The 14,773-nt window shown below is 48.9% G+C and overlaps 2 protein-coding genes and 1 pseudogene across 30 annotated transcripts in view, besides 7 other annotated features; 1 reads left to right on the top strand and 2 right to left on the bottom strand.

The window, feature by feature from the left end:
• Window positions 1–1,698, bottom strand: part of FAM234A (family with sequence similarity 234 member A) — a 35,143-nt gene extending 33,445 nt beyond the window's left edge. For all 23 annotated transcript variants that reach the window (NR_104317.2, XM_047434744.1, XM_047434753.1 and 20 more), the window contains exon 1: window positions 1,662–1,698. The gene's annotated coding sequence lies outside the window, so the exon portion shown is untranslated. The remainder of the gene's footprint in view (window positions 1–1,661) is intronic.
• Window positions 1,416–1,875: a silencer, noted in NCBI's record as "silent region_6906". NCBI's record gives its function as "represses an Ori minimal core promoter by ATAC-STARR-seq in GM12878 lymphoblastoid cells {active_cell/tissue: GM12878}" and the evidence as "EXISTENCE:reporter gene assay evidence [ECO:0000049][PMID:35858748]".
• Window positions 1,416–2,281: a biological region, named in NCBI's record as "H3K27ac hESC enhancer GRCh37_chr16:284237-284780".
• Window positions 1,738–2,281: an enhancer, noted in NCBI's record as "H3K27ac hESC enhancer chr16:284237-284780 (GRCh37/hg19 assembly coordinates)". NCBI's record gives its function as "activates a minimal SCP1, AML or CMV promoter by ChIP-STARR-seq in naive H9 embryonic stem cells {active_cell/tissue: H9 hESC(naive)}" and the evidence as "EXISTENCE:reporter gene assay evidence [ECO:0000049][PMID:30033119]".
• Window positions 1,956–2,005: a silencer, noted in NCBI's record as "silent region_6905". NCBI's record gives its function as "represses an Ori minimal core promoter by ATAC-STARR-seq in GM12878 lymphoblastoid cells {active_cell/tissue: GM12878}" and the evidence as "EXISTENCE:reporter gene assay evidence [ECO:0000049][PMID:35858748]".
• On the bottom strand, window positions 4,509–5,435 carry C4orf46P1 (C4orf46 pseudogene 1; annotated as a pseudogene).
• Window positions 6,698–7,394: an enhancer, noted in NCBI's record as "NANOG-H3K27ac-H3K4me1 hESC enhancer chr16:279124-279820 (GRCh37/hg19 assembly coordinates)". NCBI's record gives its function as "activates a minimal SCP1, AML or CMV promoter by ChIP-STARR-seq in naive and primed H9 embryonic stem cells {active_cell/tissue: H9 hESC(naive and primed)}" and the evidence as "EXISTENCE:reporter gene assay evidence [ECO:0000049][PMID:30033119]".
• Window positions 6,698–7,456: a biological region, named in NCBI's record as "NANOG-H3K27ac-H3K4me1 hESC enhancer GRCh37_chr16:279124-279820".
• The window catches only part of LUC7L (LUC7 like), a 40,460-nt gene continuing 32,756 nt past the window's right edge, over window positions 7,070–14,773 (top strand). For 4 of the 7 annotated variants that reach the window (XM_011522561.3, NM_201412.3, NM_001320226.2 and 1 more), the window contains exons 1-2: window positions 7,070–7,240; window positions 9,183–9,277. In XM_011522561.3, the coding sequence (XP_011520863.1) occupies window positions 7,180–7,240; window positions 9,183–9,277 (156 nt within the window). In that variant the 5' untranslated portion in view covers window positions 7,070–7,179. Of the gene's footprint in view, window positions 7,241–8,116; window positions 9,278–14,773 lie in introns of all 7 variants that reach the window. The other 3 variants (XM_005255427.4, XM_047434359.1, NM_001330420.2) reach the window with 2 other exon arrangements.
• Window positions 7,227–7,456: a silencer, noted in NCBI's record as "silent region_6904". NCBI's record gives its function as "represses an Ori minimal core promoter by ATAC-STARR-seq in GM12878 lymphoblastoid cells {active_cell/tissue: GM12878}" and the evidence as "EXISTENCE:reporter gene assay evidence [ECO:0000049][PMID:35858748]".

Here is a 14,773-nt window from a genome sequence, read left to right as displayed (position 1 = left end):
CCCAAGTAGCTGGGACTACAGGTGTGCGCCACCACACCCAGCTAATTTTTATATTTTTAGTAGAGACGGGATTTCACCATGTTGGACAGGATGGTCTCGATCTCTTGACCTAGTGATCCGCCTACCCCAAACTCCCAAAGTGCTGGGATTACAGGCATGAGCCACTGCGCCCACCCAAAAAAAATTTTTAAGAAAAATAAATATGGTGGCACATGCCTGTAGTCCCAGATACTCAGGAGGGTGGAGCAAAAGGAAAAAAAGAGGGCCAGTTGCGGTGGCTCACACCTGTAATCCCAGCACTTTGGGAGGCCGAGGCGAGTGGATCACCTGAGGTCAGGAGTTTGAGACTGGCCTGGCCAACATGGTGAAACCCCTACTAAAAATAAAAAATAAAAAAAATTAGCTGGGTGTGGTGGCGGGCACCTGTAATCACAGCTACTTGGGAGGCTGAGTGGGGAGAATCGCTTGAACCCGAGTAACTGGGATTACCGGCACCTGCCACCATACGCAGCTAATTTTTTTATTTTTAGTAGAGACGGGATTTCACCATGTTGGCCATGCTGGTCTCGAACTCCTGACCTCAGGTGATCCGCCTGCCTCGGCCTCCCAAAGTGCTGGGATGACAGGCGTGAGCCACCGCGCCGGCCCAGCAAGCTCCATTTTTTATTTATCTAATTTACTATCTGTACCCTCCAGTAGAATAGAAGCTCCTTGAGGACAGGAAGTTCTTTCGTGGAGTACTATATCCTTAGCTCCTACAACCATCCCTGGTTCCCAGCAGACACTCGGAGAGTATTTGTTGAGTTATTCTGCTCTAATTGGATGCAGACTGAAATTGCAATAAGGGAAGTAGTGTAATCTGATGCTGGCGCCGTAAAGACACCGGCAGCCAGTACATGGAAGGGAGCGCGTCACAGCCTCCTCAGCTGGAATCACAAGGTTTAGAACCAGAGAGTAAGTGAAATTGCCTACCCTGATATCCTATCAGTCTGTCCAAGGGCAAACTCTCTCCTTGACAACTCTCGGCCAACGAACGTAGGGGAGAGCCAGGAACGCTAATCCCAGTGTTTTCCTCCCATCTAGCCTCTGTTTTGTGTTCTATGCCTGAGTCCCTCCCACAGACGAGCAACCTCGGCTGCGCTCGGGGAGCTTTCCCGGGGTGCCGGACGGACAAGCTTGCAGACAGCGTCCCGAGAGAGGACACGCCTCTCCGACCCCCGTGAGGCTTCTCATCCACATTCTTCCACCATAAAAAAACACTCTCAGGCAACCCAGGCGGCACCAAGAGCGAAAGCGACCACGGCCGGCTCACCTACGCTGCGCCACGGCGGGGAGCTCCCTACCGGGAGGTAAAACCCCGCTTTGAGGAACATGTGGGCTTGTTCTGAATGCCACTGAAACCCAGGCTGCGGCAATGGGGGAAACCCGAAAGAATCAGCCTCCAGAGGCGCTGCTGCCGACCCGCTGAGGGACTTGGGGCCCCGCCGCAGCCTCCCGGCCCGCACCCGACTCGGGAAGGCGGAGGAGCTAGGGGGCAGCACGGCGGGGTCCTCCAGGGGCCGAGGGACTGGGGAACCTGGGGGCCGGGGTCCCAGAGCGAAGGGGCGGCCTGCGGCGCCCCTGCGGCGTGCACGCGCGAGTACGAGGCCGCGCTCACTCACCTGCCGCCGCGGCCTCTCACCCGACCGCGCCGCTGGCCCCGCCCCCTGGCGTCACTTCCGACCAGCCGGGCGGGCGGGGGCGGAAATGCGCAGGCTCCGACCCCGCCCCACCGCCATGCTTCGGTTGCTCGGCAACGGGGATCTTGGGCGCTGCCTCCGCCGGGAACCTGGCGGTGTCCTGTTTGTCGCTGTCGCAATGGATGCTGAACGTCCTCGCCCCTCTTCGTTCCCGTCCCCCCTCCGTCCTCGCTCCTCTCCGTCCTCTTTCCCCTCCTTCTCTGCGTCCTCGCTCCCCTCCTCCTCCTCTCCCGACCTTGTCCTCTTCCCGCCTTCTTTCTTGACGTCGACCCCCGATCTGCGTCCTCGCCCCCGCTTCCGGGTGCTCTCCCCAGTGTTTCTCCTCTTTGACCACGAGGAGAATTGCTGGCACTGAGGATGCGAATTTTCGGCCTTGAAATACGGTGCCAGGGCCGGGGGCGGTGGCTCACGCCTGTAATTCCAGCACTTTGGGAGGCCGAGGCGGGCGGATTACAAGGTCAGGAGATCGAGACCATCCTGGCTAACACTGTGAAACCCCGTCTCTACTAAAAATACAAAAAATTAGCCAGGCGTGGTGGCGGGCGCCTGTAGTCCCAGCTACTCAGGAGGCTGAGGCAGGAGAATGGCGTGAACCCAGGAGGCGGAGGTTGCAGTGAGCTTAGACTGCGCCACTGCACTCCAGCCTGGGCGACAGAGCCAGACCGTGTCTCAAAAAAAAAAAAAAAAAAAAAAAAAAAAAAGGCTAGGGGCTCATGCCTGTAATCCCAGCACTTTGGGAGGCCGAGGCAGGTGGATCACCTGAGGTCGGGAGTTCAAGACCAGCCTGACCAACATGTATAAACCCAGTCTCTACTAAAAATCCAAAATTAGCTGGACTTGGTGGCGCGTGCTTGTAATCATAGCTACTCGGGAGGCTGAGGCAGGAGAGTTGCTTCAACCTGGGAGGCAAGAGTTTGCGGTGAACTGAGATCTTGCCATTGCACTCCAGCCTGGGCAACTAGAGTGAAACTCCGTCTCAAAAAAAAAAAAAAAAGGATGGGGTCTCCCTCTGTCCCTCAGGCTCAAGTGCAGTGGCGGGATCACAGCTTACTGCAACCTCTGCTTCCCAGGCACAAGTGATCTTCTCACCTCAGCCTCCGGAGTAGCTAGGACTACAGCTGTAAGCCACCATGCCCAGCTAATTTTTTTCCTTTCTTGTAGACATGGGGTTTTGCCATATTAACCAGGCTGGTCTTGAACTCCTGGACTCAAGTGATCTCCTGCTTTGGCCTCCCAAAGTGCTGGGATTTCAAGCATGGGCCACTGTGCCTGGCAGTTGTCTGATTTCTAGTAACTGTGGCAGTTTGGTAGGTGCGTAATTCAGATGATTTAATTGCTTTGTTCAAATGGCCAATTGGAAGCAAAGTCATGCCTTAAAACATTATTTAAAACTTGTCAGCCGGGCACAGTGGCTCATGCCTATAATCCCAGCACTTTGGGAGGCCGAGGTGGGTGGATCTCAAGGTCAGGAAATCTAGACCATCCTGGCTAACACTGTGAAACCCCGTCTCTATTAAAAATACAAGAAAATTAGCCAGGCGTGGTGACGGGCGCCTATAGTCCCAGCTACTTGGGAGGCTGAGGCAGGAGAATGGTGTGAACCTCGGAGGCGGAGCTTGCAGTGAGCTGAGATCGCGCCACTGCACTCCAGCCTGGGCGACAGAGTGAGACTCTGTCTCAAAATAAATGAAAACAAAACTTGTCTAACCGTGTCTGGACTTTTGATGCTTCTAGCCCATGAACAGTCTTTGTTGTATTCTTAGAGTAAGTCTTTTTTCCCCCTTCCAGGGCAGCAATCATATTAAATTATCATTTGTGAAATGATTTTTTAAAATTTAAATTTTATTTTTTAATTAATTAATTTTTTTGAGGTGGAGTGTCAAAATAGACCACTCCCGGCCTGTTTTTTTTTTGAGATGGAGTCTCCCTTTATCGCCCAGGCTGGAGTGCCGCGGCACAATCTTGGCTCACTGCAACCTCCGCTTCCTGGGTTCAAGTGATTCTCCTGCCTCAGCCTCCTGAGTAGCTGGAACTACAGGCGTGTGCCACCACACCAGGCTAGTTTTTTTGTATTTTTAGTAGAGACAGGATTTCACCATGTTGGCCAGGCTGGTCTTGAACTCCTGACCTTGTGATCCACCCACCTCGGCCTCCCAAAGTGTTGGGATTACAGGCGTGAGCCACTGTGATCGGCCTTTTTTTTGGCCGGGGGGAGAGGGAGTTTTGCTTTTGTTGCCCAGGCTGGAGTGCAATGATGCATTCTCGGCTCACCGCAACCTCTGCCTCCCAGGTTCAAGCAATTCTCCTCCCTCAGCCTCTCGAGTAGCTGGGATTACAGGCATGCGTCATCACGCCTGGCTAATTTTGTATTTTTAGTAGAGATGGGGTTTCTCCATGTTGGTCAGTCTGGCCTCAAACTCCTGACCTCAGGTGATCGCCTGCCTCGGCCTCCCAAAGTGCTGGGATTACAGGCATGAGCCACTGCCCCCAGCCTGGCATGTTTTTTAAGTTTTAATTTCATTTTTGAGACAGGGTCTCATTCTTTTTTTTTTTTTTTGGCCTCCCAAAGTGCTGGGATCACAGGTGTGAGCCACCGTGCCTGGCCAAGACAGGGTCTCGTTCTTTTGCCCAGGCTGCCATGCAGTGGTGTGATCACAGCTTACTGCAACCTCAACCACCCAGGCTCAATCCATCCTCCAACCTCAGCTTCGAGTGGCTGGGACTAGAGGCACATGCCACCACACCCGGCCTATATTTATTTATTTATTTTTATGTTTGTTAATTCTTGTATTCAACCAACAGTGAGTGTTGTGTGACCCTGTTTTAGGTGCTGGGGATACAGAATGAAGCACAATCATTAGCTGTAGACAACGTAGCCTAATGGAGCTGGATCCACCACTGGCAACCTTAAAGTTACCTCCCTTGGTCCTTAAGATGAAATGCAACTTCAAACTCTGCCATGCTTAGCATCTTGTTTCAAAACAAATAATGGTCCACCTAGTTTGCTGCTGGTAGCCCTGTGGCTCTATTAATATTAACCATCTATTGATGAAGTTAACTTTCATAAAGGATTCTACGAAAGTTCAGAGGCATGAAGTATGTAAGGACAAACAAGTACTGGTCCGCAACAAAAATAGCATCGGTATTCTGCTTTCAGAAAAGCCAAGAAAACCAAGAAAAAATTCATTCTGAGTATATACAGAACTGCTGGACAGAGGTCATCCTATACGTGTGGTACACGTACAAATATGACATAAGAAGAAGTATGAATTATTGCAGTCATTATTAAACAACGAAGTATGCCAAATTAGTCATCAGGTTTCAAAGAATCATAGCCTTCTTTCCATAGGTCCCGCCACGTTTTAAGGAAACGTGCCTTTTCTGTACATTTGAAGGCAAGTTCTTCCACTTGAGCTGATACTGCAGATGTGGCTTCAAGAAGTTTGGTTAATGAAAAGGCTGCGTCTCCGATCTGCAGCCCCACTTCCTCCAGCGGGTCCACCGTTCGGCCGCTGCTCCTGCTCGGAACTGGCCAGCCCAAACTCACTGGGCTGCCAGGGTAAGATGCTGCAGAGGCGTCTGAAGAGGAGGGAGAAGGAGGCGGCGGGGGCGGCGAAGAAACCTGCAACTTCTCAGGGTCGGCCATGGGGAAGGGCTGGCACCGCGGAATCCGACCCGAGCAGCCCAACGGACACCCTATTTATTTATTTTAAATAGAGAGCAGGGGCCTGGCGTTCTGGCTCACAGCTGTAATCCGAGGACTTTGGGAGGCTGAGGTGGGCGGATCACCTGAGGTTAGGAGTTTAAGACCAGCCTGGCCAACATGGCGGAACCCCGTCTCTGCAAAAGTACAAAAAAAAAGTTAGTCGGGAATGATGGCGGGTGCCTGTAATCCCAGCTACTGGGGAGACTGAGACAAGAGAATCGCTTGAACCCAGGAGTCAGAGGATGCAGGAAGCCGAGATCGCGCCACTGCACTCCAGGCTGGGCGACAGAGGGAGACTCCGTCTCAAAAATAAATAAAATACGGCAGGGCGCGGTGGCTCACGCCTGTAATCTCAGCACTTTGGGAGGCCGAGGCAGGCAGATCACAAGGTCAGAAGTTCAAGACCAGCCTGGCCAATACGGTACAACACCGTGTCTACCGAAAATACAAAAATCAGCTGGGCATGGTGGCTGGCTACTTGAGGTCAAGACTTTGAGACCAGCCTGGCCAGCATGGTGAAACCCCGTCTCTACTTAACATTCAAAAATTAGCCGGAGGGGGTGGCGGGCGCCTGAAATTCCAGCTACTGGGGAGACTGAGGCAGGAGAATCGCTTCAACCCGGGAGGCGGAGCTTACAGTGAGCCGAGATCGCGCCACAGCATTCCAGCCTGGGTGACAGAGCAAGACTCCGTCTCAAAAAAAAAATAAACAAATAAAAAATAAAGACCGGGCGTGGTGGCTCATGCCTGTAATCCCAGCACTTTGGGAGGTTGAGGCAGGAGAATCGCTTGAACCCAGGAGGCGGAGGTTGCGGAGAGCCAAGATCGCGCCATTGCACTCTAGCCTGGGCGAAACTCCGTCTCAAAAATAAATAAATAAATAATAGAGGTTTAATATAATAGAAGTATATGCCAGACTATGCACACATAAGTGCATGCTATAATTCTATTATCACATAAAATAACTGCTTACATATGCCTTTTCTTTAGTCCCTGGGACAGTAGACCATGAGCTCACAAAAGGACGACCACGAGGTTGTAATCATAGAACCTAATATTAATGCCATGACTGATGGCCAAACGTGGTGGTTCACACCAGTAATCCCAATACTTTGCCGGGCTGAGGCGGGAGGATAAGGAGCCGGGGAGGTCGAGGCTGCAGTGAGCGGTAATCGCGCCACTGCATTCCAGCCTGGGCGACGGAGCAAGACCCTCGCTCTAAATAAATAAATAAATAAATAAATAAAATTCCATGCTTTATTTAACTTTCACAAAAATCATATGAGGGGCACCTTTAGAACCCTCATTTCACAGATTTAAAAAAACGAGCGTCGGGGAGCTAAATAATATGCTCACGGTTTCATGGCTAGCTTAGAAAAAGCACGGATTCATCTTGTTTTTGATTGACTGTATTTCATTTTATTGTAGTTTACCCTCCGTAGAGACTCGTTTGAGGTCCTGGGGGTCTAGAGTAAAATCAGGGTTGGGATTTTGGTTCCGCCGTTGGACAACTTGCGACCACTCAGAGCCTCAGCCTCCCTAAGCACCCACCCCAGAAACTACATTTCCCAGCAGGGCGTGCGCCGGCGCCGTCGTACTTCCTCCCGGCGTCCCCCGCGGCGGGAAAGAGCCGAGTGGGCTCGAGGCCGACGCGACCATCGTTTGTCGACGCCGCTGCCACCGCCTGCCTGAGAGAAGTCGTCGCGGCCGACCCCGTCGCCTCCGCCGGCTACCATGTCCGCCCAGGCGCAGATGCGGGCCCTGCTGGACCAGCTCATGGGCACGGCTCGGGACGGTGAGTCAGAGCGGCCAACCAGGCGAGGGTCTGGGGTGGGAGTGAGGCGAGGCCGCCGGGCGGCCTGAGGCGGGGGCCGCGATCGTCTGCGCCTGCGCCTGCGCGGGGCATCGCTCCTCCTCCCCCGCGCTCCGACCGCAGGCGCCGGGCCTTTGTCTAAGCCGGTGCGTCTCTGAGGCGGCCGTGGGTCCAGGTCGGGCTCCTCTCTCGGAGTCTGCGCCATGGATGGGGCTTCAGCCTCCTTCCTATGTACCGTCCTGCTACTTCCTCCCCGGCGGGCGCCGCGGCTCCGTGCCCCTCCGCGAACTGTGGAGTCGGCGGAGGGCTGGAATCAGCGTGGGCTCCAGGTCGCTGGCAGCCGGGTGGCAGAACTCTTCCGAGGCTCCTTGGGAAGAAGCTACACCCGAGGGAGCCGGATGGGCCTCGAAAACCTGGCCCGCTCTGGTTCTGTACCATTGCAAGGGGAACCGTAAACTGAGCTTTTCTAACGTGGGTTTCTGCCAAGTACTTTTCCAGCTGCCCCCTTCCCCCCAGCACACAGGAGAGCCTCTGTGTAGCCAGCGCTTGACAGTCGTTAGGTAGGTTGTACTGTGTAGGGAGGAGCTCAAGATCATGATGGTTGTCACAGGAGAAAGCGGTTGCATCTTTGCAAAACTATATACCTGCTGTGGTTTGTGTTTTCTTTTCTGCTGAGTAATGAAGTTGTAAGTTCACACTGGCACATTCTCAGGGCTGTGCAGATTATTTGCACTTTATTTCATAGGTGAATAAGTGCTTTTTAGCTTTCTTTGTATATTGAGTTGCTTTTGAATTGCTTCCCATATTTTTATTTCATACAAACTGAACAATTGTGGCCCCTCTATTTTATTTATAAAGGTTCAGTGTATCTTTGCCTGCCTACATCAATCTGCAAGGGAGTTGCAGAAAGCCTCATGTTCATCGAGCCGTGAGTCACAACCAATTTCTAAGCTGTTATAACAAAAAAGTGTTTGCTTTTTTTCACAAGTAACTTTAAAAGTGTAGTTTAGAAAGAAAACATTTTCAATAAAAAGACACTACATTAATCCTGGATGCTTGCAAATCCTAAAATATATTCCTCCTCTAGCGTTGCACAGCTCTGTGTTGTATACACAGACTAGCTTTAAAATTTGTCACATACCACTTTACCTTTACTTTTATGTATCATTCCCCCGACTTCCTTACTGCAGGTGTGGGCAAGAAAACTTTTCCTTTAACACTTTTCAACAGCGGGCATAAAATTCTGCAGCTGAGGTCTTGAAGAATGCAGATGGGTACAGTATGTGTTGGAGCTCACAGTGTGTATTGACTAACCTAGTTCCTTTTTTGCTTTTTTTGGTATTGTCTTGTTAAAAGTGACTCCCAGGTAGCAACTCTCTTTTTTAAGGGTGGGAACGAAAGGGACGTAGGAAGAATAGATCTAGATTATTTAACAGTCTTCGATAGAGTTTGAAAGCTTTCTTCTTCATTCAATTTTGGGCAAAATACTGCCTCTGCATTTGTTCATAACAAAAAGATTAGATTAATAAGTAGCTTTTGTTGGTGGAAATTACCAGCTCTATAAGTCACCCTTGGTGGTTCATGGACCTCTGATTAGCTTGGGTTTTGCAGTCTCATTGCCACATGTATATGTGGAGCCAATGGCCTTTTGGTGCTCAGCTGTTTACGTCTGACTCCTTGACTTCTTTGGTACAGTGATGGAGTCAGATCTCATTAAGTGTGATTCTCCATGATATAACTAGCCTCAAAAAAATGTGTATTCCACTCCAGTTGTAAATATCTTTAGATCAGCTTTTCATTGCATTTGATGGGGAGAACACAGAAATGATAGTCTGCAAATCATCCAGGTGAATTGTTATACTAGTTATTTTTTGGTGGTTAATGTGATAATATTGTCTTATTTAAAACCACAAATGAATTTCAGGAGACGAAACCAGACAGAGGGTCAAGTTTACAGATGACCGTGTCTGCAAGAGTCACCTTCTGGACTGCTGCCCCCATGACATCCTGGCTGGGACGGTAGGTGCATTTTGGGGGACCTCATGGAACACTCTGACATGAGTGCTGTATAGGCAGTGACGGTTTTTCTATGTTGAATTTTGTTTTAACTTAAGTCTCTTTTTCTCTAAGTGGCTTAATTATGGCAGGTGTTCCTCCACTCGTATGTATGTTTGCATGCATGCATGCGATGGAGTGTCACTCTGTGTTGCCCAGGCTGAAGTGCAGTGGTGTGATCACAGCTCACTGCAGCCTTGAACTCCTGGGCTCCAGCAATCCTACCACCTCAGCCTCTTGAGCAGCTGGTACTACAGGCATGAGCCACTGCTCCTTTCTCAATCCTCCACTCTTCAACAGGCAGAAATCCCTGATGCCCTTAAAATGATAGATTCTATTCATTTGGTAGGATTTTATATTATGGAACAAATTTCACTGTTGTAAAATTCTGTCTGTAAAGTTACCAGATTTTTTGTAAAGTCATTTATACTGAGATATTCACAACTAAATAGGGCAAGTATTCTAATTTGGCTGTAGCAAAAAATATGCTTTAGGTCAGCCTGAAGTTCTTTGAAGATTCTGCGTGGGTTTGTTTGACCTCAAGTTGGTTGTGTGGAAAACTTTTGATCTAGCAAGGTACATTTTCTTCCCGCAATTTTTTGGTTTTTAAAAATCAGTTGAGGATACATTGATTTTGTAGTTTTGTGTTGTGCCACCCCTTCAAGAAATCAACATGCTATCTAATGAATATAGAACCCTACAATTTTAAGTTCACTTCAGATGAACAAAACAGATAAACGCTAGCTTTGTATAATGTGCATTTATTCGAAGTAAGAATTTGAAAAGACTGAATAGTGGAAGGTTATCTGTGGTGATTACGCCACTGAGAGAAAAGGAGTCCTGTAGAGACCACCCCCATTTTAAGGTTTCACAGCTACCTCACGGAGGTTAAAAACTATCCTCTCATTTTAAGGATGAAATGTGCATATGTTAAAGGAAGTTTTCTTCATGATGAATCATTGCTTATATTAGGGAGGAGCACCTTCTGGAAAACCGCTCAGATGTATTAAAACTTCTCAAGCTGAGTTTTCTGACAGCAAATGCGAAATGAATGCCAAACCTTGTGCCTCTGTTCCTTGGGGTGTTGTCTGCTGTTTGGCCTGGGATGGGAAAACGTTACTGTTTGATGCAGATTGTTGTGTGTACCGAGGTCAATACAGATTAATGATTTCAACTCGTCAAAGGAAGTTTCACTGTAGGGTATTTTCATAGGATGCACAACTTGGAATTCTTGATAAACCCATAGTGAAGGAAGTCAGAGGGAGCAGATAGATGTGCACTCTCGGGAAGATTTCAACCATGTTTTCCTTGGCCAGACCCTGTGTAGCATAGCTGCAGAATACTGGTGAGAAAAATAATCTGAGTGAGAGTATTTCTTTTCTTTTCTTTTCTTTTCTTTTTTTTTTTGAGACAGAATTTCAGGCTGGGTGCGGTGGCTCACGCCTGTAATCCCAGTACTTTGGGAGGCCGAGGCGGGTGGATCACCTGAGGTTGGGAGTTGGCGACCAGCCTGATCAACATAGATAAACCCTGTCTCTATTAAAATACAAAATTAGCTGGGTGTGGTGGCGCATGCCTGTAATCCCAGCTACTCAGGAGACTGAGGCAGGAGAGTCACTTGAACCCGCGAGGCAGAGGTTGTGGTGAGCCGAGATCGAGCCATTGCACTCCAGCCTGGGCAACAAGAGCAAAACTCTGTCTCAAAAAAAAAAAAAAAAAGAGACGGAGTTTCGCTCTTGTTGCCCAGGCTGGAGTGCAGTGATGTGATCGTGGCTCACCGCAACCTCTGCCTCCCAGGTTCAAGCCATTCTCTTGCCTCAGCCTCCCGAGTAGCTGGGATTACAGGCATGCACCACCTCGCCCGGCTAACTTTTGTATTTTCAGTAGAGACGGGGTTTCACCATGTTGACCAGGCTAGTCTGGAGCTCCTGACCTCGTGATCCACCCACCTTGGCCTCCCAAAGTGCTGAGATTACAGGCATGAGACACTGCGCCCGGCCAGAACTGTGTTTTCTGAAGGTTCCGGAAACTTTGGTGCCCTTCCTGGTCAGTAGTGTTAGACCAGTAGAAGGTACAGAAGAGAACACAGGTTGTGGAGTAAAAAACGCCTGACACACTGGATTTAGCAGCCATGTGGAATATTGTGGAAGGACTTAATGAATGTGATATTTCAGCTCTGCTTGATGTTGGGCATCCAGGGGAATGGCCAGTAGTATTTTTCCCTGCCTCCTTGGCAAAGCTGAAAAGCTACATCCAAAGAGGGTAATCATAGAACCCAAGCCTATCCTCAGTGTGCTTAAGCAGGGACTCTTTTGGGAGCTCTCACATTGAAAAGTAAGTGCTGAATTTTGCTTCATGTGAGGTTTTTTTTTTTCAGACGGAGTCTCACTCTGTTGCCTAGGCTGGAGTGCATGGTGCTATCTCTGCTCACTGCAACCTCTGTCTCCTGGGTTCAAGCAACTCTCCTGCCTCAGCCTCCTGAGTAGCTGGGATTATAGGCGCCCGCCACCACACCTGGCTAATTTTTTTTGTATTTTTAGTAGAGATGGGGTTTCATCATGTTGGCCAGGCTGGTCTCAAACTCCTGACTTCAGGTGATCCACCCACCTCTGCCTCCCAAAGTGCTGGGATTACAGGCATGAGCCACCGCGCCTGGCCTCATGAGGTTTTCTTTTTTTTTTATTTTGAGACTGAGTTTCGCTCTTGTTGCCCAGGCTGGAATGTAATGGCTCCATCTCAGCTCACTGCAAGCTCCGCCTCCCGGGCTCAAGCAATTCTCCTGCCTCAGCCTCCCGAGTAGCTGGGATTACAAACGTGCGCTACCACACCCGGCTAATTTTTGTATTTTTAGTAGAGACGGGGTTTCACCACGTTGGCCAGGCTGGTCACGAACTTCTGACCTAAGGTGATCCGCCCTCCTCGGCCTCCCAAAGTGCTGGGATTATAGGCATGAGCCACCGCGCTCGGCCTCATGAGGTTTTCTAATGTCATATCTTTCTTGACAGTTGAGTTTTTTATAATGGAAATCAATTTGTACTTCATACTTTGTTGTACTTCAGGTTTTAGGGTCTGCTTCCTTTGGTAGTAGCTTTTTCTTTGAACAACAAAGCCTTGATTAGTTTAAAGCATTTTTTCTGATAGCTGCCATTCATTTTTCAGCTACAATGCTTAGTTTGTGGAAACTATATATTTTAAAGGACAACACCCACAACTTAGAAGAGTGAATGAGGCCAGGTGCGGTGGCTCATACCTGTAATCCCAGCACTTCGGGAGGAGGAGGAGGAGGCGGGTGGATCACTTGAGGTCAGGAGTTTGAGACCAGCCTGGCCAACATGATGAAAACCTGTCTCTACTAAAAATACAAAAATATTAGCCGGGCGTGGTGGCGTGCCCCTGTAGTCCCAGCTATTCGGGAGGCTGAGGCAGGAGGATTACTTGAATCTGGGAGGCAGAGGTTGCAGTGAGCTGAGATCGTGCCACTGCACTCCAGCCTGGGCGACAGAGTGAGACTCCGCCTCAAAAAAAAAAAAGAAAAAACAGAGTGAATGAGGTAAAAGTTGTCAGATTTTCAGTGACAGTGATTTTAAGTGCAAATTTGGCTTCTAGAACCACTATTGTCCTATCTCTAAGTCTTCTATGTAACCGACCATAACGTGAGTCCCATCTGACTTCAGAGTAAGAATGATAAAGGAGAAAAGTCAATCTTTCGTCAAAATAAACATCACCATACAAGGCAGACCCGTTGTCTGCCGCCTCCATGTTAGCTTTATTATTGGTGATACTGAAGGATGTTTTGTTAGTGAGTATGCCACGTGCTTTCTTTTTTTATCTATTATTTTATTTTATTTTATTTTTTTGAGACGGAGTCTCGCTCTGTCGCTCAGGCTGGAGTGCAGTGGTGCGATCTTGACTCACTGCAAGCTCTGCCTCTCTGGTTCATGCCATTCTCCTTCCTCAGCCTCCTGAGTAGCTGGGACTACAGGCGCCCAGCTAATTTTTTTTGTATTTTTAGTAGAGAAGGGGTTTCACTGTGTTGGCCAGGATGGTCTTGATCTCCTGACCTCGTGATCCGCCCGCCTCGGCCTCCCAAAGTGCTGGGATTACAGGAGTGAGCCACCGTGCCCAGCCTAGCATGCTACATGCTTTCTATGAGACTGCATCCCAAGAGTCAGACATGCAAGCCTCTCTATTTTTTTCCCCCTCAAGATGGATTAAAGGTTTAAAGCCTTCCTTTCTTTTTTTTTTTTTTTTTTTAAAAGACGGGGTCTCTTTAAAAAGCTGGGCGAGGTGGCTCACGCTCGTAATCCCAGCACTTTGAGAGGCCAAGGTGGGTGGATCACCTGAGGTCAGCAGTTCGAGACCAGCCTGACCAACATGGAGAAACCCCATCTCTACTGAAAATACAAAATTAGCTGGGCGTGGTGGCACATGTCTGTAATTCCAGCTCCTTGGGAGGCTGAGGCAGGAGAATCGCTTGAACCTGGGAGGCGGAGGTTGCGGTGAGCCGAGATTGCACTACAGTCTGGGCAACAAGAGCGAAACTCCATCTCAAAAAAAAAAAAAAATTAAAAAGACAGGGGTCTCTGTTGCTCAGACTGGAGTGCAGTGGCTCAGTCACAGCTCACTTGAAGCCTTGACCTCCTAGGCTCAAGCGATCTCTTCCCCTCAGCCTCCCAAGTGGCTGGGACTACAGGCACATACCACCACACCCAGCTAATTGTTAATTTTTTCATAGAGACAGGGTCTTGCTATGTTGCCCAGGCTGGTCTCAAACTCCTGGGCTCAAGTGATCCTCCCATCTTGCCCTCCCAAAGGTGTTGGGATTACAGACATGTGCCACTGCAACTGGTACTAACGTCTTTTTTTTTTTTTTTTTCTGGTTATGTAGACATGTTCTTTTGTCCTACTGGGGGTGTCTCCTAGTTGGGATGTTGGGTTTTGTTAACATGCACTCTATAACTTGACACGATGATCCTCAGCACACAAACCTCCCTGTTGCTGTGTAGATGGCGAGAGGCAGAAGGTGTCTGCATAGAGTCCTATACTTAGGATTTAGATTAAAATCATACACTGTTTTCTAATTGTACTGCATATGGTACACATAATAGCACATCATGCTGTTCTTACTGACAACATAAATCATTTTGTTTTAGTAATGGAACGTTTTGCTTGTCAAATGGAGGAACTGAGTGGGACAATTATCTGTCCTCACTTAGATGTCCAGGGTCATTTCCCAGGCTAAGAAAATGTGTAGAGCATGTATTTGGCTACGAACCAGCCTGTTCTCCTTTATTCCCTTTGATACACAATCAGCTACACAAAGCCAAGTGTTAGGTTGTGATGTAATTGCCAAAATCTAACTTCTGTCCGCTCTTTCCTCTTCCTCTGTCTCTGCATCTTAAGCATCGAGCATCTCAAGTAGTCAAGATTGCAAGACAATGCCTAGAAATTTGTTGCAGT

This window comes from Homo sapiens, chromosome 16, assembly GCF_000001405.40.
Source record: "Homo sapiens chromosome 16, GRCh38.p14 Primary Assembly".
Lineage (NCBI taxonomy): Eukaryota > Metazoa > Chordata > Mammalia > Primates > Hominidae > Homo > Homo sapiens.
This window is presented reverse-complemented; position numbering and strand designations above follow the sequence as displayed.